The sequence below is a fragment of the Homo sapiens genome, chromosome 8 (genome assembly GCF_000001405.40).
Source record: "Homo sapiens chromosome 8, GRCh38.p14 Primary Assembly".
NCBI classification, from domain to species: Eukaryota; Metazoa; Chordata; class Mammalia; order Primates; family Hominidae; genus Homo; species Homo sapiens.
The window spans coordinates 15,503,966-15,530,256 of NC_000008.11; the positions used below are offsets into that span (position 1 = coordinate 15,503,966).

General features: G+C 37.7%; 1 protein-coding gene and 1 long non-coding RNA gene across 5 annotated transcripts in view; one reads left to right on the forward strand and one right to left on the reverse strand.

Annotated features, from left to right (window-relative positions):
* The window catches only part of LOC124902060 (uncharacterized), a 32,974-nt gene extending 30,310 nt beyond the window's left edge, over positions 1-2,664 (reverse strand). The window contains exon 1 of the long non-coding RNA XR_007061173.1: positions 2,579-2,664. This is a non-coding gene — a long non-coding RNA (uncharacterized LOC124902060). The remainder of the gene's footprint in view (positions 1-2,578) is intronic.
* TUSC3 (tumor suppressor candidate 3) overlaps positions 1-26,291 on the forward strand; it is a 434,904-nt gene that overhangs the window by 86,778 nt on the left and 321,835 nt on the right. The gene's annotated exons all lie outside the window — the stretch shown is intronic.

The window sequence follows — 26,291 nt, forward strand, 5'->3', positions numbered from 1 at the left end:
ATCGCACCACTGCTCTCCAGCCTGGGCAACAGAGTGAGACTCTGTCTCAAAAAAAAAAAAAAAAAAAATTCTGTAGAAAAGAACACACCGTTTATTTATCCTATCCACTGCTCGCTTCAGACTAGAGTCAAATGAGGCACACATGCTTCCAGCAAAAGAAAGCCATGAATACAATAGGGTAGAGGTTAATAGTGTAGGCCTCAGAGCCAGACTGCCTGGGTTCAAATGCTGGTTCTGTCACTTGCCAGCTGAGTAATTTTGAGAGCCTCCGTTTCCTCAGTTACAAAATAAAGATCGCTGGAGATCCTACCTCATAGACATTGACAGTGCAGTTTAACTTATTGACATAGACTTCTAAAACCTCATAGAGGTTTTGTGAGATTTTAATAAATTAGTCCATTAAACTACTGAGTGTAATGCCTAGCACAAAATAGGCGTAAACACCCAACAAGGGAAAGTTGTTGTTAGTATTAGTTACCATCATTATCATTAACATCAGTTCATTAAGAAACATATTTCTACTACTGCCATATTAGTTATTGCCCTTCCTTTAGGTTGCCAAACAGAATTCCTATTTTGTTCTATTTTAATCCTATTAAAGGCAACTTTCAGGATATATATATATATATATATATATATATATATATATATATATATTTTTTTTTTTTTTTTTTTTTAAGTGGGTTTTTTTTTGTGTGTTTTTTTCGAGATGGAGTCTCGCTGTGTCCCCAGGCTGGAGTGCAGTGGTGCGATCTTGGCTCACTGCAACCTCTGCCTCCTGGGTTCAAGCGATTCTCCTGCCTCAGCCTCCCTAGTAGCCGGAACTACAGGTGCCTGCCACCATGCCCAGCTAATTTTTTGTATTTTCAGTAGAGATAGGGTTTCACCGTGTTAGCCAGGATGGTCTCCATCTCCTAACATTGTGATTCGCCCACTTCAGCCTCCCAAAGTGCCGGGATTACAGGCAATTTTGCGTCTTTCTTTCCGTAATTCATGTATTTTCTATTTCAAATGAGGTGCGGGCTTCCTAAACAATACTGTATCAACATCTATTAAACATTAACCAAAATAATAAAAATATTGCTGCCAAATGGCAGGAATCTAGAAATTCCACCTCCCACATTGTAAAAATATGACAGATTGCCCTCCATCCGCCACTTGGAATAAATCATCTGTCATCCATATGAGAACTGGCTTTACTTCATGACTGTTTTCACAGATGACTCAGGTTATTTGCCGCAGCAACTTCTGGATGATCAAATATTTTAGGAATGATCCTTCCAAACAAGAAGGCTTTGTCAATAAGTTAAACTGCACTGTCAATTGTCAAAAAGAAAAAAACCCAGAATGCTGTTCTGATGGCCAGACTTTTCATGTGTTATAATGGCATTGTGCCAAGTCTTGTCATTTTTCAGGTTTGTACTTAATGTACTATGTCTATTCCTTTTTCAGTTAATTTGAGTGTTAATTGCTGTTGCATAACCTTAGCACCATTTTTATTCCTGTTGGTAAAATCTCCAGCAGGGAACATCTGTACGTTTTTTATTGTGTTTTCTGTTGCCATACTAGTTGAATCTTCCGATTCCATAGTTTCCTTTACTACAGTATGTCCCAAGCTTGTCTGTCCTAAGAATCACCAACTGAAAATAGAAATACCCAGGCTTCTCCCTGGAGAATCTGATTCAGCAGGTCTGAAGTGGGGTCAGAGAAACTGCATTTTTAACTGATGAATACTATAATCAGGCAGAATGGGAGCACTACTTTATAATTGTAAAGTTAAAATGTATTTTTTTTCTGTTTTTTTTAGTTTTAAACCCTACAGAGTAAGCGACAATTCCTAGTGAATACATGAAAAAATTCAATAGTCTTCCATAGTTGAGAGAATATTTCTTTCCCTGTACTTGGATACAGAATCTCTGTAAAATCCTAAGGAACATATTCTTGCCCAATCTGGTCATACAAACATACAATAGGATACAGTGATTAGGCTAAAAGCAATTTTTAAAAATCTATTTTACTGACTCTTGATCCCTGTTCACAGCACCCTGGTGTGCTAGTGTTTGTTTGCAGTAGTTTCTAGATGAGAGATTTTGCATCAGTGATTGTAAACCTGCCTTGACGGGAGACTATTATAAGAGAGGATGAAAAAGAGAGTGACTTCCACATCATACCAGAACACACAGTATATTATCTGCTGGGGCTTAGAAAACAGTACCCCAAAATAAAGGCCTCCAAAGCAGCCTCTGAAGCAAAAGTTTTTCTCTGAGCTTCCCCTGCCCTCCTCTCTCTCAGTCCCACTCTCCCCTGAGGCTAGTTCTAGAAACTAAATCCCTCTTTACCAAGGTGGATCATAGAAACCAGAATCCCTTTTCCCCAAAGTCAGCCATAAAACCTGAAAACATTACTGTAACTTTCACTCCACATTTCTGTGTAAAAACGGACCTTCTAAAGGAATTATCTGACCTAACTTGTTTGACTGTACATCATATGACCCCTTGTATTAGCTCATTTTCATGCTGTTATGAAGAAATACCAAGACTGGGTAATTTGTAAAGAAAAGGAGGTTTAATGGACTCACAGTTCCACATGGCTGGGGAGGCCTCACAATCATGGCAGGAGGCAAGGGAGGAGCAAAGACACGCCTTACATGGTGGCAGGCAAGAGAATGTGTGCAGGGGAAGTGCCTTTATAAAATCATCGGATCTTGTGAGACTTATTCACTATCACGAGAACAGCGCAGGAAAAACCCGTCCCCATGATTCAGTTACCTCCCACCAAGTCCCTCCCACAACACGTGAGGATTATAGGAGCTACATTTCAAGATGAGATTTCGGTGGGTCAAACCAAATCACAGCCATTCCAGAAAGGGCCCTGCCCCTTACCCGGAAGGAAGGAATGCATGCTCAGAGAAGCCAGGAAGAATGTAGACAGACAGGCCTTGCTGCATTTCCTGTCTTGGTCGGCTAGGCTTAGATCATGCCCTTTTTGTCTGGTCATATTTCTAGATGGCTGTTTATGCTTTGTTTAACTTAAACATGAAAATGGACAATTTCCTCTGTATCTTTGGGTCTTCATTTTGAAGGCTCCCATGTATACATATGAAATAACTTTGTATGTTTTTTCTCCAATTAACTTGCCTTCTGTAAGTTGATTTTTTTGGCCAGCCTTCAGAGGGCCAAGGGGAGCTCCCCCTTGCCCTCCATAGTCCAAACTATAGAGGAACTTGGCTCTGCATTCATTAAAAGAAACAAAGTGACATTGTTCCTGTATTTTACATTTAAAAACATGGTTTGTCCTGTTGCATATTTTAATTCCTTGGCCTCAGGGTCCTTTTTAATTAGAGGAAGAGGAAAGTTACTTATTATTATTTTTTCAGCTATCTCTCATATATACAACTTTGATCCCTTTATAGTTCATGCCTTATCAAAATCCTCTTAATAAAGAACTGCACAGTTGAAAGTGGAATATTTGCTAAAAGGCAGATAGTTAACTGGAAAAATACATGGAAAAGCATCTTTTTTTGTATTTTTCAGATTCTAGCTAATTTCTATAATTAAGGAAAATCAGGAGTCTCTCCCTTTTTTGAGTTTTATCAATTTTTAAATGTTAATTAAAGGTCTTCTAAAGTCAAAAGAATCTATAAAGATGTAAATCAGGATGATTTCGGAAACCTCCCATATACAAAATATGTTATACAAAATACAAAATACAAAAATATGTTATGAGCACTAAGTATTGAGAACTTGATAGGTATTGGAAATTCAACTAATAGAAGTCTTTGTACTCTTTAACAGTCTACTTGGGAAAAGAGAGAGAGAGGATGATGTAAGGAAAAAACTATAGTTAAATAAAAAAAAGGCAAAGTGAACAAAAAAAGATTAATGGCCTCCCCAAGAGGTACAGTCAGATGGAAAGGAGTGAAGGTGGGCACATTTAAATAGAGGAGGTAAAACTTGAGCCAAAATAACGAAAGATGAGTCAAAACTTGCTCTGAGGCCAGATGCAGTAGCTCAGGCCTGTAATCCCAGCACTTTGGGAGGCCGAAGTGGGTGGATCACTTGAAGCCAGGAGTTCACGGCCAGCCTGGTCAACATGGGGAAACCCGTCTCTACTAAAAATACAAAAATTAGCCAGGTGTGGTGGTGTGCCTATAGTCCCAGCTACTCAGGAACGTGAGGCAGGAGAATCTGCATGAATCCGGGAGGCAGAGGTTGCAGTGAGCCGATTTCACGCCACTGCATTCTGGCCTGGGTGATAGGGTGGGACTCTGTCTAACAACAATGACAACAAAAACAAAAAACAAAACAAAACCTTGCTCTGGACAAATTATGGGTAATAAAAAATTTTGTTGGATGTGATATCCTATTAACTGAGGTGAAGAACAAGAGAAATGAATGACAAGATCTCAGGGAGGGAGAAAGGACATTGGATTTAGAGAGATTATAGATAAATGTCTAGGTAACTTTGAGGTAGTTTAGGAATCGAAGCTTCCTTTTTTTTTTTTTTTTTTTTTTTGAGAAGGAGTCTCTCTTGTTGCCCAGGCTGGAGTGCAGTGGCGCCATCTCGGCTCAGTGCAAGCTCCGCCTCCCGGGTTCGTGCCATTCTCCTGCCTCAGCCTCCCGAGTAGCTGGGACTACAGGCGCCTGCCACCATGCCCGGCTAATTTTTTGTATTTTTAGTAGAGACCAGGTTTCACCGTGTTAGCCAGGATGGTCTCAGTCTCCTGACCTTGTGATTCACCCGCCTGGGCGTCCCAAAGTGCTGGGATTACAGGCGTAAGCCACCGCACCTGTCCTGAAGCTTCCTTTTTAAGTGGAATAGGAAAAAAAGTAGGCATTAATAAAGATAACAAAAACCAAAGTGTATTGAGCTTACTCTGCTACTCACTCTGTCAACAGCTTGTAATATATTACCTTAATTCTTCCATGTAGGGTTGGCATTATTACTGTCTCCAGTTTACCAAATAGGAATTTGAAAGTTTAGAAAGTTATATAACTGTCTCAGGTTCCAGAAGTTGCGCCTGGTAGAGTTATAATTCAAGATAAGATCTTCAGCTCAGAATGAGAGGGAAGTGTTGAAGGGTGTGAATGAACTGCTTTGAGGAATGAGAGAAGAAGCTGAGGGGGAGAGAGAAAAAAGAATAGCTGAGGAACAGTAAGGACCCAAGTAAGGATGCAGTCTTTTGCTCTGCTAAGAATCCACATTGTTTTCCAACAACAGAGTACAGAAGAGCAAATATTGGAGATGATAGTCTTTTCTTCTTTCTTGATGCTCTTGTCAATAAATTAAACCACAGCCATCTAAGTTAGTTTCCTTAACTTTTTTAACTGAATGCTACGTGAAATTCAAAATCATAATAAAGGCCAGACGTGATGGCTCATGCCTGTAATCCGAACGCTTTGGGAGGCCAAGGCAGGCAAATTGCTTGAGGTCAAGTGTTCGAAACCAGCCTGGCCAACATGGTGACATCCCATCTCTACTAAAATATAAAAATTAGCTAGGTGAGGTGGCAGGCGCCTGTAATCCCAGCTACTCGGGAGGCTGAGGCAGGAGAGTCACTTGAATCCCAGAGGCTGAGGTTGCAGTGAGCCGAGATTGTGCCACTGCACTCAAACCTGGGAGACAGAGTGAGACACCATCTCAAAAAAAAAAATCATAATAAAATAGCACAGAAACATTGGATTAAGTATTAGCGTGACAAATTTGTAGTCTTAACTGTAGCTTTGTACTTCTTAATATTTTGGACTTTACCTATTCATCTCTAAATGCAGATGATTTTGAAGCTCATATTACATCCCTATCCATTAACTGGCCTAATACAATAATCTGTAAGTGAGATGAATGTGAATCTATGAGGAGACTGTTTTCTTGCATATTAGTTGACCAAAATATGTATTTTTGAAATTTTAATAAGTTATTTCCCCAGTTATCTAATGCTTACCAGGAGAATCCAGAAAGCTTTGGTTGGCCTAGGCAGGAGTATTGCTTGGGGCCAAGAGTTTGAGAGCAGCCTGAGCCACATAGCAAGACCTCATCTCTACAAAAAATAAAAAGAAAAATAGCGAGCCATGGAGGTGCACAACTGTAGTCCTAGCTCCCTGGGAGGCTGAGGGGGAAGAATTGTTTGAGCCCAAGAGTTCAAGGTTACAGTGAGCTATGATCACACCACTGAAGAAAGATCTAAAATCAGTGCCTTTAGATTAATACATTTGCAAATCTTGAAAATGAAAAGCAAATTAAAGCCAAAAGAAGGAGAAAAATAGATACAATCAAAGTGGAAACCAATGCAATAGAAAACCTAAAAGAAAAAAGGGAAAAAGAAAAGAATTGGTAAAACCAGAAGCTGGTTCTTTATGAGATCAATACAATTGATAAAGTTCTAAAAAGACTGATCAGGGAAAGAAGAGAGGGTACAATTACCAATATCAGACATGAGAGCAATGACATCACTACAGAAATTACAGGTGCTAAAGTGATAATGAGGAAATATTATATATAAATGCATGCAGTAAATTCACAACTTATGTGAAATACACAAATACATAAAAGATAATTACGGGAGCTCACCCAGGAAGAATCAGACAACCCCAACACTATATATATTTTTTTAAATATCAGTTTGTAGTTAAAAACCTTCCCACACAGAAAACTCCAGGCCCAGATGGCTCTCTTGATAAATCTGATCAAACATTTGAGGAGGAGATGACACCAATTTTACACAAACTGTTCCTGAAAATTTAAGAGCGGGGAATGCTTTCTTATTCCATGAAGTCAGTGTTACTCTCATTACAAAACCAAGATACTATTTAAAAAAAAACAGAAAGACAAATATCCCTCATGACTATGGACACAAACATTCGAAACAAAATGTTAGCAAATTTAATTTAACAGTGTATGGAATCACTTTAAAATTGGCAGAGGGCTCATGTGTAGAATGCAAGATTGGTTTACTTGTTGAAAAATCAGTGAATGCCATTTACCTTATTAGCAAACTAAAAAGGAAAACCATTTATTGATTTCCATACAAGCAGAAAAATGTTTTGGAAAATTCAAGATCCACTGCGGATAAAACATTTGGCAAGCTAGGAATAGAAGATAACGTCCTCTACCCGATAAAGGACACCCCCCAAAAAACAAAACCCAAAACTTAAAACTAATACCAAACTTAATGGTGAAAACATGAATGCTTTCTCCCATAAGTTCAAATACAGGTCAAGAAGGTTCACTCTTACTACTCCTATTCAGTATAGTGCTGGAATGAATTTCTCTCCAGTAGAAGGAGGGAGGAAGGGAAGAAAGGAAGGAGGAAGGAAGGGAGGGAGGGAGGTGAGGAAAGGAAATCCAGATTGGAATAGAAGAAAGAGAAAGCAAAACTGTAGTTTTGGTAGATGATATGATTATGCATATAAATAGAAAATGTGATGGAATATACAAAATAGTTACTAGAAATATGTGAATTTAGCAAGGTTGAAGAACTCAAAGTCAATATACAAAAATGTATTGTATTTCTCTATATTAGCAATGAACAGTCAGAACCTTAAATTTTAAACACAATACCACCAATTATAATAGCACCAAAAATACTAAATACAGATAAATTTGATAAAAGGTGTATAAGAAAGGACTGGGTGCAGTAGCTCACGCCTGTAATTCCAGCACTTTGGGAGGCCAAGATGGGCAGATCACTTGAGGTCAGGAGTTTGAGAGCAGCCTGGCCAATATGGTAAAACCCCAACTCTTCTAAAAATAAAAGAATTAGCCGGGCGTGGTGGTGGGTGCCTATAATCCCAGATACTTGGGAGGCTGAGGAAGGAAGAACTGATTGAACCTGGGAGGCGAACATTGCAGTGAGCCAAGATTGCGCCACTGTACTCCAGCCTGGGCGACAGAGCAAGACAGTCTCAAAAAAAAAAGAAGTACTAAATGAATGGAGCATGGATCAGTAGACTCAATATTACAAAGATATCAATTGATCCTAAATTTATCTATAGATTCAATACAATCCCCATCCAAGTTCCAGTAAGCGTGTTTAGAAATTGACAAGCTGATTCTAAAGTTCATATGGAAATGCAAAGAACCTAGAAGATCCAGAACACCTTTGAAAAAGAGGAACAATGTTGGAAGACTTGTACTACGTAATTTCAAAACTTACTATAAAGCTATAATAATTGAAACTGTGATATTTGTAAAAAGTTAGAGAAATAGATTAATGAAACAGGAGAGCGATACTCTAGATATTTCTGTGAATGTGTTTTTTAGATGAGATTAACAATTAAATTGGTGGACTTTGAGTAAAGCAGGTTACTCACCATAACGAGGGTGGGCCTCACCCATTCCATTGAAGGTTTTAACAGAAGAAAAACTGACCTCCCCTGAACAAGAAGGAATTCTGCCAGCTGACTGCCTTTGGGCCAGAACTGCACCTCTTCCTGAGTCTCCTGTCTGCTAGTCTACTCCATCAGATTTTGGACTGCCCAACCCTCCACAAACATGTGAACTAATTCTTTAACAATAAATGTTTCTCTGGCTGGGCACGGTGGCTCACACCTGTAATCCCAGCACTTTGGGAAGCTGAGGTGGGCAGATCACTTGAGGTCAGCAGTTTGAGACCAGCCTGGGCAACATGGGAAAACCCCGTCTCTACTAAAAATACAAAAATTAGCTTGGCATGGTGGTACACACCTATAATTCCAGCTAGATGGGAGGCTGAGGCAGGAGAGTTGCTTGAACCCGGGAGGGAGAGGTTGCAGTGAGCTGAGATTGCAGCACTGCATTACAGCCTGGGCAACAGAACAAGACTCTGTTTCAGTCAACCAATCAATCAATCAATCAATAAATCCCATTCTGTCTTGGGGTGTGTGTGTGTGTGTATATATATTTGTGTGTGTGTGTATATATATGTGTGTGTATATATATATATACACACAATTCTCTCGGTGTATATATATGTATCTATATATATAATCATATATATATATATATATATATATATATGATTCTTTTTCTCTGGAAAATTCTCACTCATACATAAGTCAAATTTTTTTCCCAGATTGCATGCTGCACGTTTAACCCCATATATTCAAGAAGTTAGGAATTACAATTGTAACGTTACCAAAATTATTACTCGAAAAATTAATCTAGCCACCTAAACAGTAAATGAAAATAACTCACAAATGAGTGTGACATCATATACAAAAAATTGATTATGATAAATATCTCTAAAACATAAGATTAAGGCTAACCAACTTGGTAGCTACAAATGTAGTATAATTGCTGTAATTCATAAAAGAAACCACACAGTAGATAAGCAACTTGACTATAGTCATGGGTAAAAAAAACTTACTCATAAAAAATAATTTTTTAAATGACCATTAATGAGGAGATGGAAGTTGCTGGTTGGAAGTAAATTTTTCATTTTATCTTTCCTAGGGATATTTGCTGGATATAAATTGAGAACTGCAGACTGTAATTTAAAAACATGAAGGCAAAATCTAATCTAATTTAATACAAGATTATATTCAAAGTTTTCAGGAACTGCTTGTAAAACTGAGTCAAGAGGCAAAGAAAAAATATAACTAAACTTAGGTCCTTTTTAGACTCAAGAACGTAATTGAGAATCTTGATGCTGTCTTAGTGACGGTAGATTTAATGGTGGTCAAGTGCTTTGTTTTAGGAAAAAAACTCATCTTAGATAAATGAGTTACAGTCGTTTTGGGTAAAGTCTGGTGTGTTACCTGGGTCTACACACATTTTCGCTTCCAGTCATAAGCAGCAGGTTGGCTCTGGGGACAGAGGAGGCGTCTCAGGTACGTGACAAAACTCTCATAGGAGCCAACTGCACTTATATCTCACCAGAGTCAATGAGCAAGCTCCTTCTCTTTTCAGTCTAACTTTTACTTGCTCCCAAATTTTTCCACCTTTAGTCTGTCCTCCATCTCCTTTGCCTCATGCCTCAGCTTCTCTTCCTCTCCCTTCTTCCTCTTCCCACCTTCATGCTCTCAGCTCCCTTCCCCTTCTTCTTTACATACAATAAAGCCCCTCTTACAGCCTAAAGGAACATAACCAGTACTTTTCATCCTAGGAACGTCAAGGTCCCTTCTATGCGCCACCACTTCCCAAATATGCATTAACAAAGAGAGGTGCTTTCTGTTAGTGTAAAGTCTAGCTGGATTTAATGTAATGTCATTTACGCCGCATTATTTAAGGGAGTGTTGTGCTCTAGTAATTACGTAGATACCCAGATCTGGTTTGTTTGTGTGTATTATGAGTGAATGATGAAAGCATCATTAGGTCTAAGCTGACAAAATAGATGTTTTATTTCAAAATAGAATTTAGATTTGTGGTAGTAATTTATTTTTATATTTTAGGTATGTTTTCATAACATTGTGCAAAGAATGAAGTTGAGCAAGAAAATTAATAGGGATACAGAAACTTGCTCATGATTACAAAGCATATAAAATAAAATATATTTCTTTGGATGCTGTAATACTTTAAAAAATTTGAAGTATAAAAACCAAAAATAGAAGTTTGTGAAATCTGAACTGTAGACTTACCTTACAATCATGCTGAAAACGGAACTCCGCTTCTTCACAGCCCAGAGTTTCATGCCTCGTGCATATTCTAGATGCATAATTGCAATGTCTTGTGTTGTTTTGGTTTGGCTTTTGATATGGAAGAGCCTACTACATTTGTTAATGAAACTATCTTTACAATTATGTTTTAGTGTTAGTATGTTTTAATATTCACTTTATTTATTTTATGAAGACACATCAAAGTAATCACAGAAGATGGTGCTCATGAGCCCTTTGGAATTAGTCTGTGGCATCAGGTGGACCTCAGTTCAGAATTATGACTCAGCCACTCGCTAGGCTGATTGATTTCAACTCTCTCAGCCTCAGATTCCTTATCAATAAAATGGGTATAATACAAACTATATTTTATAGTTGTGGTTAAGATGGGAAGAAAATACACAAATACTGTAGGTTCAATGCCTGACATATAGAGAATACTCCATAAATGACAATAGTGTTTAATTTTGGTTGGAGAATCTATCAATACATGTTTTTGTTTTTTTCTGGATTCTCACTTCTTTTCCACCGATGGAAAAGAATTGGCTATCTCTAAGCCAAGACCACACTGTCTTGATTTTGTGAAAAGTTTTGAAATCAGAAAATGGGAGTCTTCTGACTTTCTCCTTCTTTTTCAAGATTGTTTTGGCTACTTGGGAGTTGAATTTTAGGATGAGCTTGTCGCTTTCTACTTTGATGTTTTTCCAAGGACAACTAAAAAATGAAAAAATGAACATCTAGCTCTGTCAGCTGCCAAGATTCAGTGACACAACAATACTACCAAAATTAAATATTCTCAGATTTTTTACTAACATGGTCCACTGAAGAATGAAGACAAGAGTCCTGAATGATGAACTTACAGAAGATTCCCTGATAATCTAGCTGTGCATTTTACTCACATTTTTCTCCTTTATTTATAGTATGAACAGTCATTCAGCATCTTTCTGACTCTAGCAAATGACTGACGGTAGCAAATTTTCCTTGGTTCATTAATAGGTATAGATTAGAAACCAGATTTGAAGACTGTCAACACCAGCCTAGAGCAAAATATCATTGGAGTTTTTATTAATCAAGTTTTTCTGATGGAAATATTTATACAGTATATTATATGATACAAAATATATATATATGTATGTATATACATATTTTTTTGAGACGGAGTCTCACTCTGTCACCCAGACTGGAGGGCAGTCATGCAATCTCGGCCCACTGCAACCTCTCCCTCCCAGGTTCAAGTAACTCTCCTGCCTCAGCTTCCCAAGTAGCTGGGACTACAGTCTCTCGCCACCACACCCGGCTATTTTTTTTTGTATTTTTAGTAGAAACGGAGTTTCACCATATTGGCCAGGCTGGTCTTGAATTCCTGACCTTGTGATCCACCTTCCTTGGCCTCCTAAAGTGCTGGGATTAGAGGCATGAGCCACCATGCCGGGCCCCAAAATTATATTCTGTAAAAATTGTTTACTATGTCCTTAGCATTTTCTCAGAATTTTCTATTGTGTGAAATTATCCTCAACAAGTTTTAGAGGACTTCAGAAGAATGTATAAAGCAGTAAGATTAGTCTAGATTTTTATAGTTACTCATTGTTAATGACTTTCATGGTTGAGTCAACTGAATTTGACTCACCCTCATCTATTGTATCAGAGATACTTCACTGATCTTAGAATTGACATATCTTATATTCTGTCCTTGATATATTCAGTGTATAGTTAGTATTAAAACAATTACAGAGGAATGCATTAATTTGTGGTTTATTTCAAGTTTTTAAAGCAAGTTATTTAAGTGTTCTCATTTACCTTAATTACCGATAATTTCATTTTATGTACTAGCTGACTTCTTGCAGACCACTTCTCATTTTGATTACTTCAGGGCGTTATTCAATTACCAAGCATTACACTTGGGATCTCTGATATTTCTCTTGATACATACATAGGTTCTTGATGCTATGGCAGGTGATATTTTTCCCCCTGAAAATGGTGCAGATTTCCTTTACCATTGAGATTACTCTTCTTAATTAATGTAGGTAAGTTTATAAATTGGAACTGAAAGCATTTGGCCCCTCCTCGAAATGCTTGTTTTGCCATTCTTTACTTGAAGTGTTCTCTCTCACATTCACACTACTATTAACCAGAGGGCAAAAATCTTTCACTTTTGGCAGGCCATATTTAGACAAATTAATCCTATGAAATATAAAAGGTCATTTACTACTCCTGTAATGTTTGTTGAAGAATAAAAATGAAGAGTAATAGATATTCAAACAAAATATAAAAATGGGGACTATCCATTATAAAGATTATATTTCCAAATGAGTCTATGATTTTTACAGTAGTATAAATATTAGAATGTTCATATTATTTCCGTGTAATTTTAAGGAGTGAGATTAATAAGTTCATGCTCTTGAAATTAGTTGAATTGAATACTGTGTAAAAATTTTAATTAAATGTGATAGAATTTTAGAAATAAGAAGTTCCTCAAAGATCATCTAGTCCATGGTACCAGGGCTTAGATCCTTTTGTGCCTTTATACCCATGACCGACGTCACTAATCAATAGCTGCATTTTCAATGGGAGCTTTGCCAAGTTTCTGAACAAAGTACTCCAGGGATTCTCTAGCAATAGCTCAGTTGTCACTTGAGATTACACCAATTTGCCATAATTTATCTTAGCCCAATTTTTAAAAAATGTTATAGATGGAGAAACTGAAGAACAAATAATTGATTTGTGTAGTGTTGTAAAAATTTACGCCCATAGCTAAAATGAAAACTCAAGTCTCGTTTCTAGCAGTGCTCTATTCTTCGTACCTCATCACGCTGAATTACACCCCGATCTTTGCTATTGTATTGCCAATCCCAATTACACACACAGACTTACAAAGTCAGACATGGAAAATGGATATATTTATATACATCTATACACCTACTAGGGAGATGGTAAATAATGACTGAAAATCTAAATGCTTGTGAGAGCTTCCTAACATTTAGCGTGAGGCAAAAAAAAAAAAAAAAAAAAAAAAAAAAAAAAAAGCCCACAACATTCACATTTACAGTTTACACAGCTGTTGGATGAGTGTACTTCCTGGAAAACTTACAAAATTTACGAATGTATACCTCAAAAGGAGACTTGTCTTGTATTTCAAGTTATACTGCACACGAAACAATTGCTAATCATCAGCTGTATTATATAAATAGTTCACTTCAATTACATATTTCTGGGCTTCATGCTTTTTAAATTTCTTTACCTAAGAAATTTGCAAGTTTCTACCAATGTTATCATAAATAATGCATATGTGTTTTTAAATTTATTATCATTTTTTCTTCTGATATAATTCACATACCACAAAATTTCCCTTTTAAATTGTACAATTCAGTGGTTTTTACTATGTTTGTAAAGCTTTGGTACTATCGCAACTATTTACATTTGAAAACATCCTTACAACCCTCAAGAACAAACAAAAAAAAACCCCCATACACATTCGCACCTGTTCCTACCTCCTCCTTACCCCTTTTGCCAGCCTCCGGTAACCAACTATTCCACTTTCAGTCTCTGTATATTTACTTAGCCTGTAGATTTCATATAAATCTACATAATTCCATGTGGGCTTTTGTACTTGGCTTGTTTCATTTAGCACAGTTTTTGGGCTTATCTCTTGAAATCCTCCTTTCTAGTTTTATGATTAGCTTAGTACTTCTTTGTGGTCAATATTACCTTTTCTCATGTAAAATACCGTATCTTTTCATCAAAATGCCATGTGTTTTTAATTTGCTGGCTCTTTTATTTGCTATAATCTCAAATTATACATGTTACAGTTTTATCCATATAGTGTGTGATATTGGGAAAAAAGTTGAATATTAAATGGAAAATAGAAAAATAGTAGGAAAAATAGAAAATGTTATCAAGGCCTTCTCAAATCTGTATTTCTTCTCTGTATTAAAGGAACTATATATGGGATATTATATTTATTATAACAGAAAAGTGTTTATTTTAACTAGTTGGGTTGGATTAGTGTCTCAAGTCACTTCTCCTTATGAAAATACAATCTCAGCTTTTATAATATTTATATCCTTTCCTTTTTTTCCATAGGATTATAGACATTAAATGAACTGCATATTTGCAGGAATGCCTACCAGTCTTAGCAGCAAATCTGAACTTTGATGAAAAATATAGGGTTAAAGCAGCTTACTGTCATTAATGGTTTATGTAGGGGTACATTTAGTATGTACTTAAAGGAGCATTTAAAGTTAGCAATGCTAATAATCCCTCTTGTTTTTATAGAATTAAACACAAATTGTATGCTCAAATTCCCATCTAAATATGAAAATATAATCCCATTTTAAAATAAAAATGGAATCAATCTAAATTATACTGTTCTTTCTTCTCTATTTGAAAATGTTCAGTGAACTTTGCCCATGATTCTACAAGTCTAAACTAAAATCGAATCAATATATTAAATCTCTGTATGCAAATAAAACATGAAATAGCATCTGCTTATACAACAAAAACATTATTACAACAGTGTTGTGTGGTCCTGGATTTTGGCTCATTGATTTGGCTTCTTGCTCACTCTGATATACACATCTACTGACATTAAGATTTATTACTCATTTTTTAATTAAATTGTTGAAGGATGATGGAGAAGTCATGATTTTGAGAATAATGATCATGTTTTATTCTCTTATTTGGCTAATTTCAGGATAGTTTAAAAATTTTTTAGAGATAAAATCCTAATTGAAACTTACTAAAGTTGTAAAGACATTTATATCTTTTTATATTAATCCCAGAAGTATATTTCATATAATCAGCATTTTTTATAGCTTTTCTTTGTTACAGCTATATAGGCTTTCAACAAGCTTATTACTCATAAATTACAGTCACTTGAAGCTGTAACAGATTAAGTCAGGGGTCCTCAGTCCCTCAGCCACAGACCAGTACCAGTCCTTGGCCTATTAGGAACCAGGCCACACAGCAGGAGGTGAGTGACAAGCCAGCATTATGACCTGGGCTCCTCCTCCTAGATTCTCATAGGAGCAAGAATCCTATTGTGAACTGTGCACCTGAGGGATCTAGGTTGTGTACTCCTTATGAGAATCTAATGCCTGATGATCTGAGGTGCAACAGTTTCATCCTGAAACCATCCTCCTGCATCCCCACCATCCGTGGGAAAATTGTCTTCCATGAAACAAGTCCCATCGTGCCAAAAAGCACTGGATTAAGGGGACCACTGGATTAAGTAATTATATAATTGTAGAAAGGTCTATATTTACTATCAAAGGCAACTAGGTGCCTGTTCTATGTTAAAATACTTTAATGCATGAAAATTCTCAAGCTCATTTAATGATGTGTTCATATGGAATAATAGTCTTGCCATATTGTCATAGCTACTATAACTCTCAATATACCTAAATGGAGAGATTGGAGGGACCTATGGATAAAAGAATTAGCAATCTCTTTGCTCACTGTTGGCTCTTAAAAACTGCCACTTCACTGATGTTGTCCTTGGAGCCCCCAGTGTGTACCTAATAAGATTCAGACTCTGAGATTTCATTCTTCCAATTCCCCTTTCATCCTGTTATCCTTTCCTGTTCTAATTCTTCTGTAGTCACACAATCTCTTTGTCATCCAAATTCAGTAAGCACCCCTTTTCTGCAAGGCATTATGAAACACTGAGAAAGAGGAAAAAAGAGTGAGACATGGTCTCTGTCAATAGGGATTCCTGATTTTTTAAGGATATAGATATGTTTAAATATCTTTAACATCTTGAAGACAAATGAATACTATCATACAACTGGATTTTCCTTCCAGCTGTGCTACTTAATGACATTGTAACCTTGAGTAAGATATCCAACCTCTGAAAGCCTTCATCTCCTCATTTGTAAATGGGATAATTTATTACGCAAACAGCTTAGTCCAGGGCTTAACAGGATTCTACAAATTGTTGGTCATGGTTAGCTTCTGTTATTTAAATGGCATTTATCTATATTTCTATGAAATCAAAAGAGTCCTATAACATGCCTTGAAACATTCCTGCCTCTGTGTTGTATTAAACCTCTGCACTGTGTGATAACCAATATTTGTATTGCATGTACCTGGAAATACAGAAACATATAAATGATAGAGGAGATTCACAGGTTTAACTCCTCCATAGTTTTCCTCATGCATTCATATTTCTCTCTACCTATGCAATTCCGTTCTCCACCTTGTTATTGCCTTTACCCACAAGAAATTTCCTACAAACACCATAAAGTATTCAACAAACATACAGTAAGGTTTTTCTGTGTTCTAGTTCAAGGGGATGCAGAAATGAGTAAATTGAAGTTCCTGTCCTTATAGTCTCAGCGGGAGAAATAGAAGCAAACCACCCTTAACAATGAAATGACAAAGCTGTCAGCCAAAGTGGAGCCTGAAATAAAGGCTATGCACAGTTATTTTACTTGGAGATTGTTACAAGAAAAGCTTGGGACTGTACCACTCCCTCCCCAAACTGGGAAAGTGCCAAGGGACCAAACATTGAGTCCAGCTTGACGAGTAGATGAGTTTATTAGGACTTACATACAGGGCATTCCTGGATGGCAGCAGGACAGTGCTAGAGATCCATGCCACCTCTCACTTCTAAGCTGCCTTTAAGCTAATTTTCTGGCTCTTTGCCTGCCGTTTATGTATAATGGAACTGTTTTCCTTGGTATGTTTCCAGATAGCCTCTGGGATGCTTGAGTTCTTAGGGACGCTTGATCCTCGGCTGGGTAGCATGGCCTTGGCTTACCACTGACCTTCAGGGTTCATGCAGTGACAATATACCCTTAACTAACCTGGTGGGGGACCTGTCACACTACCAGAATGATTATAGGGAAGGAGTGAGGGGCAGCAGGAATGAAACAGAGAAAAGGCACATCCTTTACAAGGATGTTTGTAAATCTACAACCAACCAGCCATAATAGCAGTTTCATTCAGTTGGTCTCAACTATTGGAGACTGGCACATGATCCCATCCAGGGTGACCAATCTTTGGGCTTCCCCATACCACATTGAAAGAAGAATTCTCTTGAGCCACACATAAAATACAGTAACACAAACGATAGGTAATTACCCCCCCCAAAAAAAGGTACGTGCATAAACTTTAAGAAAGTTTACGAATTTATGTTGGGCTGCATTCAAAATTGATGCAGCCTGCGGGCCACTGGTTACACAAGCTTTCATTAGGCCTTCTGAGGCACTTTATGAAATGTGTCTCAGAACTGATACCTCCATTTGGCCATTGGCTCCTCTTTCTTATTGGTCCTTTTCACTATTGGTCAAGGGTAGACCCAAGGCCTTAACTGCTCTGCTCTTTAAGGTTGTACATGGTTGAGTGACTAGCTATTAGGTTGGTGCAAAAGTTATTGTGGTTTCTGCAATTAAAGTAATAGCAAAAACCACAATTACTTTTGCAGCAAACGAATAGCTGCTCTTCTAGGTAACTCAAACTACTGGGGTTAGAAATGAGAAGCATGTTACAATATTCCAACCTCCCTTGCCTCTGATTCTTTCCTCAATGCTATGGCAAGGCATTTCTGAAATCTTCATCTCATTTACAGTAGACTATTGTTGTGTCCAAGCTTCAGGGAATCAGGTCAAGAGTTTTTATACCAGGTCCAGGTAGCTTTACCAAGCTGTTCCACCACAAGTCATGGGTAAGTGCTAGTAAGTCAATAAATAGTATTCAGCCCTTTGTTTTTTTTTTTTCTTTGAGACAGTCTTGCTCTATCGCCCATGCTGGAGTGCAGTGGTGCTATCTTGGCTCACTGCAACCTCTGCCTCCCGGGTTCAAGCAATTCTTGTGCCTAAGCCTCCCAGGTAGCTGGCATTACAGGCCTGCGCCAGCACACATGTCTAAATTTTATATTTTTTGTAGAGAAAGGGTTTCGCCATGTTGGCCAGGTTGGTCTTGAACTCCCGAACTCAGGTGATCCACCCGCCTTGGCCTCCCAAAGTGCTGAGATCACCGGTATGAGCCACCATGCCCAGCCTATTCAGCCTTTTTTTTTTTTTTCACCTTGAGACAGTAGTCACGATCCACTCCCACATGTGTTCCACTGACCAGATTGAGAATACTTTGGTGGGTAAGCTATTCCTCCCAAGATAGGGGCTGTTTCCCTACTCCATCTCTACAGAAATCCAATCCAGGAGACAGGATAGGAGGCAGTGAGGAGGAAAAGCATCATCTTGTGAAGCTCTGGCTTCACTCAGGGCTTTTGTGATATCTCCAGGCAAAAGGAAGCTCCTTTTCTCTAGTGAGGAATTTACCTCTGACAGGCTCAAGAATTTTGATGGTATAAATTCTCAAGCTTGTCTACACAAATGTGCTATGTCAGTCCTTAAGTGCAGATGGTTTATTTGAGAAGTGATTTCAAGGAGCAGAGAGAGGCGCAGTGGGAGTAAAAAGGGAGAAATTGAAAACCAATGCGAAGATGCATCGTTAAGTAAGGTGTCACAGGAGACTGATGCTCAATCCTGTAAGACTGAGAACTATACCAGCTCCAGCACCTTTTCCAGGCTGTTCCATCACAAGTCATGGGTAAGTGCTACTAAGTCAATAAAGCATCTGCCAGCATGATGCCGTAGGAAAGTTTCTTTCCATTTGTTCTCCTCTCCTAATGGTCAATGGTTGCATGATGGCATTAATCCACTGCACCAGTGAGTGAGATCGTCTGAGTTGAGGTATTGCCCAATGCATCTGTGTAAAGCCTGAAGGAAGTGGTCACCAAAAATATGGCTGAAGAAAGGCAGGGGAGTGAGGGTGTAAGATGAGAAGCGGCACAGGGATCTCTGAGAGCGCTATAATGGAGGTATATACCATTTCCCACTATGTGATGTACATTTTGCAGTATCCTTTGTGTTTTTACTTTCTCCTTACATGGTTTTCATAGGAGTTTGATTTGTCTTCCAAAAATGCATAACCTCTTTGAGGACCAACACTATTTATTCTGCTTATTCCAAATTCTAAGATCACCCATCAAGGTATTGTGTTTTCTAATAATAGCATGTTAAATAATTTTTGCTTAAATAATAAATGCCTTGCCGACTTTCCAAATATTTCACTTCCCAAATAATTGGCTTAAAAATCCTTTAAAAACATATATATATATATATATATATATATGTGTGTGTGTGTGTGTGTGTGTGTGTGTGTGTGTGTGTGTGTGTATATATATATATATATAAAGTAGTTCTTAGGAGAGGAAATGAGATAAATTAGAAAGTAAAAATAGAGGCAGGGCGCGGAGGCTTACGCCTGTAATCCCAGCACTTTGAAAGGCCGAGGCAGGCAGATCATGAGGTCAAGAAATCGAGACCATCCTCGCCAACATGGTGAAACCCCGTGTCTACTAGCAATACAAAAATTAGCTGGGGGTGGTGGCGCGCACCTGTAGTCCCATCTACTCGGGAGGCTGAGGCAGGAGAATCACTTGAACCCAGAAGGTGCAGGTTGCAGTGACCTGAGATTGCGCCACTGCACTCCAGCTTGGCAACAGACAGAGTGACTCCGTCTCAAAAAAAAAAAAAAATAGAAATCAGAATGTGTTTGGTTTGCATTTGATTTAGATGCATTTTTTTATACTAAACTAGCCCACAATCCTAATACTGTTTTTTTGCATATGTTAACGGTTGTGATCATACTGCATATTTTGTTGTGAATTCTTAAAAATACAAATATTAAATAGGAGTTAATTTGCAGTTTTTAAAAATAATAAGCCTATTTATATAATATATTTCAATATATCTACAAACCAACCAGCCATAATAGCAGTGAATAATTTGGGATAATTCATAGACTTAATTTTCACTCACCATGTCTAATGGAAAGGAATTGTGATGTAAATAATTCCTAAATTCATTTACCTTTGAGTTTGGAATAGTGTGAACTTATAACAGTAATAACGTCTTACATTTCCATAAACTCAGAGGCTTTGCGTAAATTGATATTAAAGCCTATATTTTTTTCTTAAATAAATAATAGACCATGTGGAAATGATATCCAATATTAATATTTGGAGGAAGTTTATTTGAGATTTAAAGTCTCAAAGAGCGTAATTGGTGCTTGGATAATTGTGACCATGTGTGACTTCCTTGTTCCTTTTATATTTTGCAGGTAGCTAAAGATAAAAAAAGACCCAATGGAGAACCTATTTTTAGACACCCAAACCTAAAGTTCATGCTCTGGTAAAACTCTTTTCACTGTCGTTCTCTCATGAGCGCATAGTGAAGTTTTGCAGACACCCTATAATATGTGATATTACAACAGATTAAATATAGAAAGAGATCCCAGAATACAGTTGTCTTTTATTAAGCCAGACATTGGCAAAAATGTAAAACACTGTCACTCTTCTGTAACAGTGAAATGGTAAAAGACTAACACAGTTAACTAAATTTTAGACTAAAAGGGGGCCTCTGGCCTCTGCTCATGCTTGCCCAGACGTTAGAATAATTTTAGAACACTGAAAGATAACAAAGGAACAAAAGCCTGCAACTGTTGAGACTAACTCTCAAGGTAAAAGGGAAAGTATGTATACTAGGTTTTCTTAAAGATGTAAAGGTACAAGGAGACCATTAACCAGAAACAAAGAGATTTCACAACTTTTCCTATACTCCCTGCTGGTGCCCACGTATATATGCCTTTCTTGGCCACTTCTTGATCTCTATCCCCTTCTTTTCCTCTATACCTAAGTAAAACTGTACAAAGCCTACAAACACTATGATAGTACTTCAGGATGCTAGTGCCATCTTTCTGGTTTGCTGGCTCTCTGAGACAAAGTTTCTTTTCTTGCTCCAGCTCCTTGTTTCTTGACTTTATTGGCTGTGGTAAGGTGAGTAGAACAAGTTTGGATTCTGTTAAATTCTAACAAGCTTGTTTTAAATAAAAATGTTACTTATGTTAAGCAATAGTCCTACTATTATTTTTAAATAAGTTGCTTCAATGTTCTCAGTTTTAATGTATAATATGGCAAATACTGATAGGTATGTCTCACATAAACAAAAGCTCTTTGGCTCCTCATTAATTTTCAAGAGTGTAAAGTGGTCCTGAGAACAAAAAAGTTTGAGAACTGCTGTAGTAGATCACTCATTTTCCCGTGACAGGGCTAGGCAGATAATCCAGAAAGACAGAGCTCATGGTGGTTGGAGGATTCTTTGAAGACTTTTGGAGAAACAGAGACTTGCTCTGGGTCTCCAGTGATAAAGGGGATGTTAGCAATGTAGAATGGAAATGACCTCTAAGTCAGGAAGCCAGCAACAGCAGAGACACAGGTGCAAAAGTGTGTGCTGGGGTAAAGAGCCTGATCGGTTAGGCCGTAATGGGGGAAAAAGTAGTCACAAAGTACGTAGGAAAAGAAACAAGAGGCAGGCTGGGAAGACAAAAACTGGGAAGCAGAACTGGTGTTTAAATTTAATTATTTTGGCTGTAGGGAGACAGTGAGGGTTTTCAAGCAGGTGGTAGTAGGGTGATATAAATGTAATTCCACTTGTGGGAGATTCATCTTTTTTTTTTGAGACAGGGTCTCCCTTTGTCGTCCAGGCTGGAGTGCAGTGGCACCATCTCGGCTCACTGCAAGCTCCGCCTCCAGGGTTCCCGCCATTCTTCTGCCTCAGCCTCCCGAGTAGCTGTGACTACAGGCGCCCGCCATCACGGCCGGCTAATTTTTTGTATTTTTTAGTAGAGACGGGGTTTTATCATGTTAGCCAGGGTGGTCTCGATCTCCTGACCTCGTGATCTGCCCGCCTCGGCCTCCCAAAGTGCTGGATTACAGGCGTGAGCCACCGCGCCTGGCTAGGGAAATTCATCTTGATAATGATTACATTCTATACAGAGGGAAACTAGTAAAGATTTTCTCGTAGGAGTGTGATATGATTTTGCTGTGTTCCTACCCAAATCGCATCTTGAACTGTAGCTCCAACAATTCCCACACATTGTGGGAGGGACCCAGTGGGAGATAATTGAATGGTGGGGGCAGGTTTCCCCCATACTGTTCTCCTGGTGGTGAATAAGTCTCAGGAGATCTTATCGTTTTATAATGGGTTTCCCCTTTCTCTTGGCTCTCATTCTCTCGTCTGCCGCCATGTAAAATGTGCCTTTCGCCTTCTGCCATGATTGTGAGGCCTCTCCAGTTACGTGGAACTGTGAGTCCATTGAACCTCTTTTTCTTTATAAGTTACCCAGTCTCAGGTATGTGTTCATCAGCAGCATGATAACAGACTAATACAGAGTCCACATATAAAATGATAAGGACCGGTACTAAAGTTGCTTCGTTTGAAGTCTCAGTGTTGAGGGAGACTAGGGGTGGCTTTCAGAAAAACAGCCCCCTGCAAGGATTAGAAGAAAAGATAAAGTACCCATAATGATTAGAAATCACCATTTGATGTTGAAGAGGTTTCTAGATCATAAATACTAAAGGATAAAGGATTAAGTGTATTTTTTGTCATATTCAAATTTTGTTGTGAATTCATAGCAAAGTACATGAAAAATAGAAAAGTTTGAATAATTGATTAATCAGAATTCTTCGTTTTCAACCATGCCAGGTAACAAAATGTTTACTATAATTTGCATATTGGCGTGCACTGCTTAGCTGTCCCACTTAAAAGAAAACAATAGTTCTTGTTGATTTAAATTGTTACTTCACACATTATGAATTCTTTTCTATGTGCAGCTTGAATGCTTATTTATTTATTTATTTAGAGACAGAGTCTCACTCTGTCACCCAGGCTGGAGTATAGTGGAACAATCTTGGCTCACTACAACCTCCGCCTCCCAGGTTTAAGTGATTCTTCTTCCTCCACCTCCCTAGTAGCTGGGATTACAGGTGCCCGGCACCACACCCAGCTAATTTTTATATTTTTAGTAGAGATGGGGTTTTGCTATGCTGTCCAGGCTGGTCTCAAACTCCTGACCGTACGTGATCCACCTGCCCCGGCCTCCCAAAGTGCTGGGATTACAGATGTGAGTCACTGTGCCCGGCCTTGAATATTTCTTTTTAAAAAATATTTTTGTATTTATAAAATTAATTTGAACTTTGATTTTTATTTTTTTGAGAGCTATGGTCTTACTGTGTTGACCAGGCTGTTCTGAAATGCCTGGCCTCAAGGGAACCTCCCATGTTGGCCTCCCAAAGTCCTAGGATTATAGGAGTGAGCCACTGCACCAGGCCTACAGCTCGAATACTTCTGAAGCTCACTTTATTTTCAGTGGGAAAGGCACTGTATACAGTAACTAAGCACTAGTTACTGATTATCAATAGACAAAATAAGCTCTTCACTTAAAATGCTTTTTCTGTCATTTTTAAACATTCCGTATACATTCTCCTCTTCCTCTAGCCATATTCACTTATATACACTTTTTAATGAGTAAAACAATTTTCTTTTAGTAATAAAACCAATATAGATGAAATTCCATTAGCTAATAATTTGGTGTACTTTAAATAGAGCTTCTTGGTAAGTCCTGGTTTTAGCACAGATAAATATTCTTTGACATATTTCCTTATAAAGAATTTAGTCCCTGAAATAGATGATGAACTCTTACAGGAAACCAGCTGGATTTGTTGTAATCCTTTACCAATAAAACATAATGATTAATTATAATTTCAATTAAGCACAATTTTGGTACTATAAAAAATACTCAGCTCAGCATTTGTGGTGTTTGAAAAAAAAACTTTCCATCATTTCTTTCCTTGGAAATGACAAGGTTAAAATTAAAATGAACATTTGTTCAGTGAAACAAAATTACTGGCATGCAAGTGATTACCTCATTTGATGAGTTCAGGAAATGAATTAGGAAGAAAGCTGTGTATTTGAAGATTCAGTATATAGTTTACTCATTAATTTTAAAAGTTCGATATAAACTTTTTATATAATTCAAAAGAGAATAATTGAAAGGAAGCCAAGTAAGTTGAATCGGTCAATTGTACCCTAACAAATTACAGCATTTTTAAACCATGAGAACCACAACTTCAAATATACTGTGAAGTATTCTGCAGCAAACTCATATCTGTCCAAGTTCACACAATTTGTTTGACCTAACAAGGATAGCAAAATTATCTCTGCTTTTCACCTGGCTTCACGGCTACCTTTCCAGTGTTTTCCTGGCTTCTGTAGAACACTTCTTCACTTGTTTCCAGAATCTCAGAGATACTCCCTGCATACTCCTGTGACCCTCTTGGATTCTTTCTTTAATTTTTTTTAAATTGCTACAGATTGCCTGAATTAAATAGCTTCAAACATTTGTCCATATCCCTACCTTCCCTCTGTATAATTTCATTAAGATACCTTGAATTTTCTTAGTGAGTCTAGGAAAACTCTGAATGCATTATGCCAAAAAGCAGTCAGACTTTGAACTTTGACCTCAGAGCATCTGATATATCAGAATTTAGACAATAATGACCTTTACCTTACTCTTTCATTACTCCTTTGTCACCGCAGTTAATAACCAATGAACAGTTCTTTGAAATTTTATTTCTTAGCCCTACCACCTACTCCACTGACCTTTCCTGATACATAGAACATGCTACACAAGTAAGTGACATACTGTTTGCTTGAGATAACCAAATGTTCAATATAACCAAATCATATGCTGTTTTTTTCTTTAAATATCCGAAGCACAAACACAAGTTCTAAAATGCAATCGCACAGGTGCATGCTGTTCAGTACCATAATTCCATTTAGTAAATCTTTTACTAAGCAATTCCCTAATACTGTGTTTCAGATATAAATTTACATTGGCTTTGATAGAAATTCTAGGGCAGAAATCAAACAATAATGAAAAGATCATATGCAAAGGCTTTTGATAAATGCTATTAAATTATATGAAAAAAGGGCAAAGTTTTTAATATGGAAAATGGCATTAAGTTGAGGTTTATCAATATTATTACAATACTTTAATTACTGTTGATTACATAGACATAGCAATTTGAAATTTCACTGAAGATACAGTTTAAAAATAATTGAATGAAATGTATCGTAATATACAAAATCAGTTTCACTTTAGAATATTTTTAGAAAACAGTCATTATAGAAAATTTGCTTTAAATAGCCAACTGTTTGAAAAATACTAACATTACTTAGATGTACTATCTAACGTATCAATATGTTTAGAAAAATGGCTAGGATTAAATATAAATGCCTAATATTTCCAGCCATTGGTTTTCAAACTGTGTTATTGGAGCATTTAGGGATTTTCCTCTTATAATGTCTTCTGTAGAATACAGGTTGCCATATGTATAGTAATTCTGTGAAAAAGTTTTTTTTTTTTTTTTTTTTGAGACGGAGTCTCGCTCTGTTGCCCAGGCCGGACTGCGGACTGCAATGGCGCAATCTCGGCTCACTGCAAGCTCCGCTTCCTGGGTTCACGCCATTCTCCTGCCTCAGCCTCCCGAGTAGCTGGGACTACAGGCGCCCGGCTAATTTTTTGTATTTTTAGTAGAGACGGGGTTTCACCTTGTTAGCCAGGATGGTCTCGATCTCCTGACCTCGTGATCCACCCGCCTCGGCCTCCCAAAGTGCTGGGATTACAGGCGTGAGCCACCGCGCCCGGCCGAAAAAGTTTTTTACACTCCTGTATTACATCATATACAGTACCTGGAATATGGGGCTGAAGTCTCTGCTTACATCTTTGCTCTCTGGTAGTCTGTTGTCCACACAGCAGCTATAAGGACAGTTTGACAAGTCACTGATCTGCTTGCTTCTCTAAAGGAAACACACTGAATAT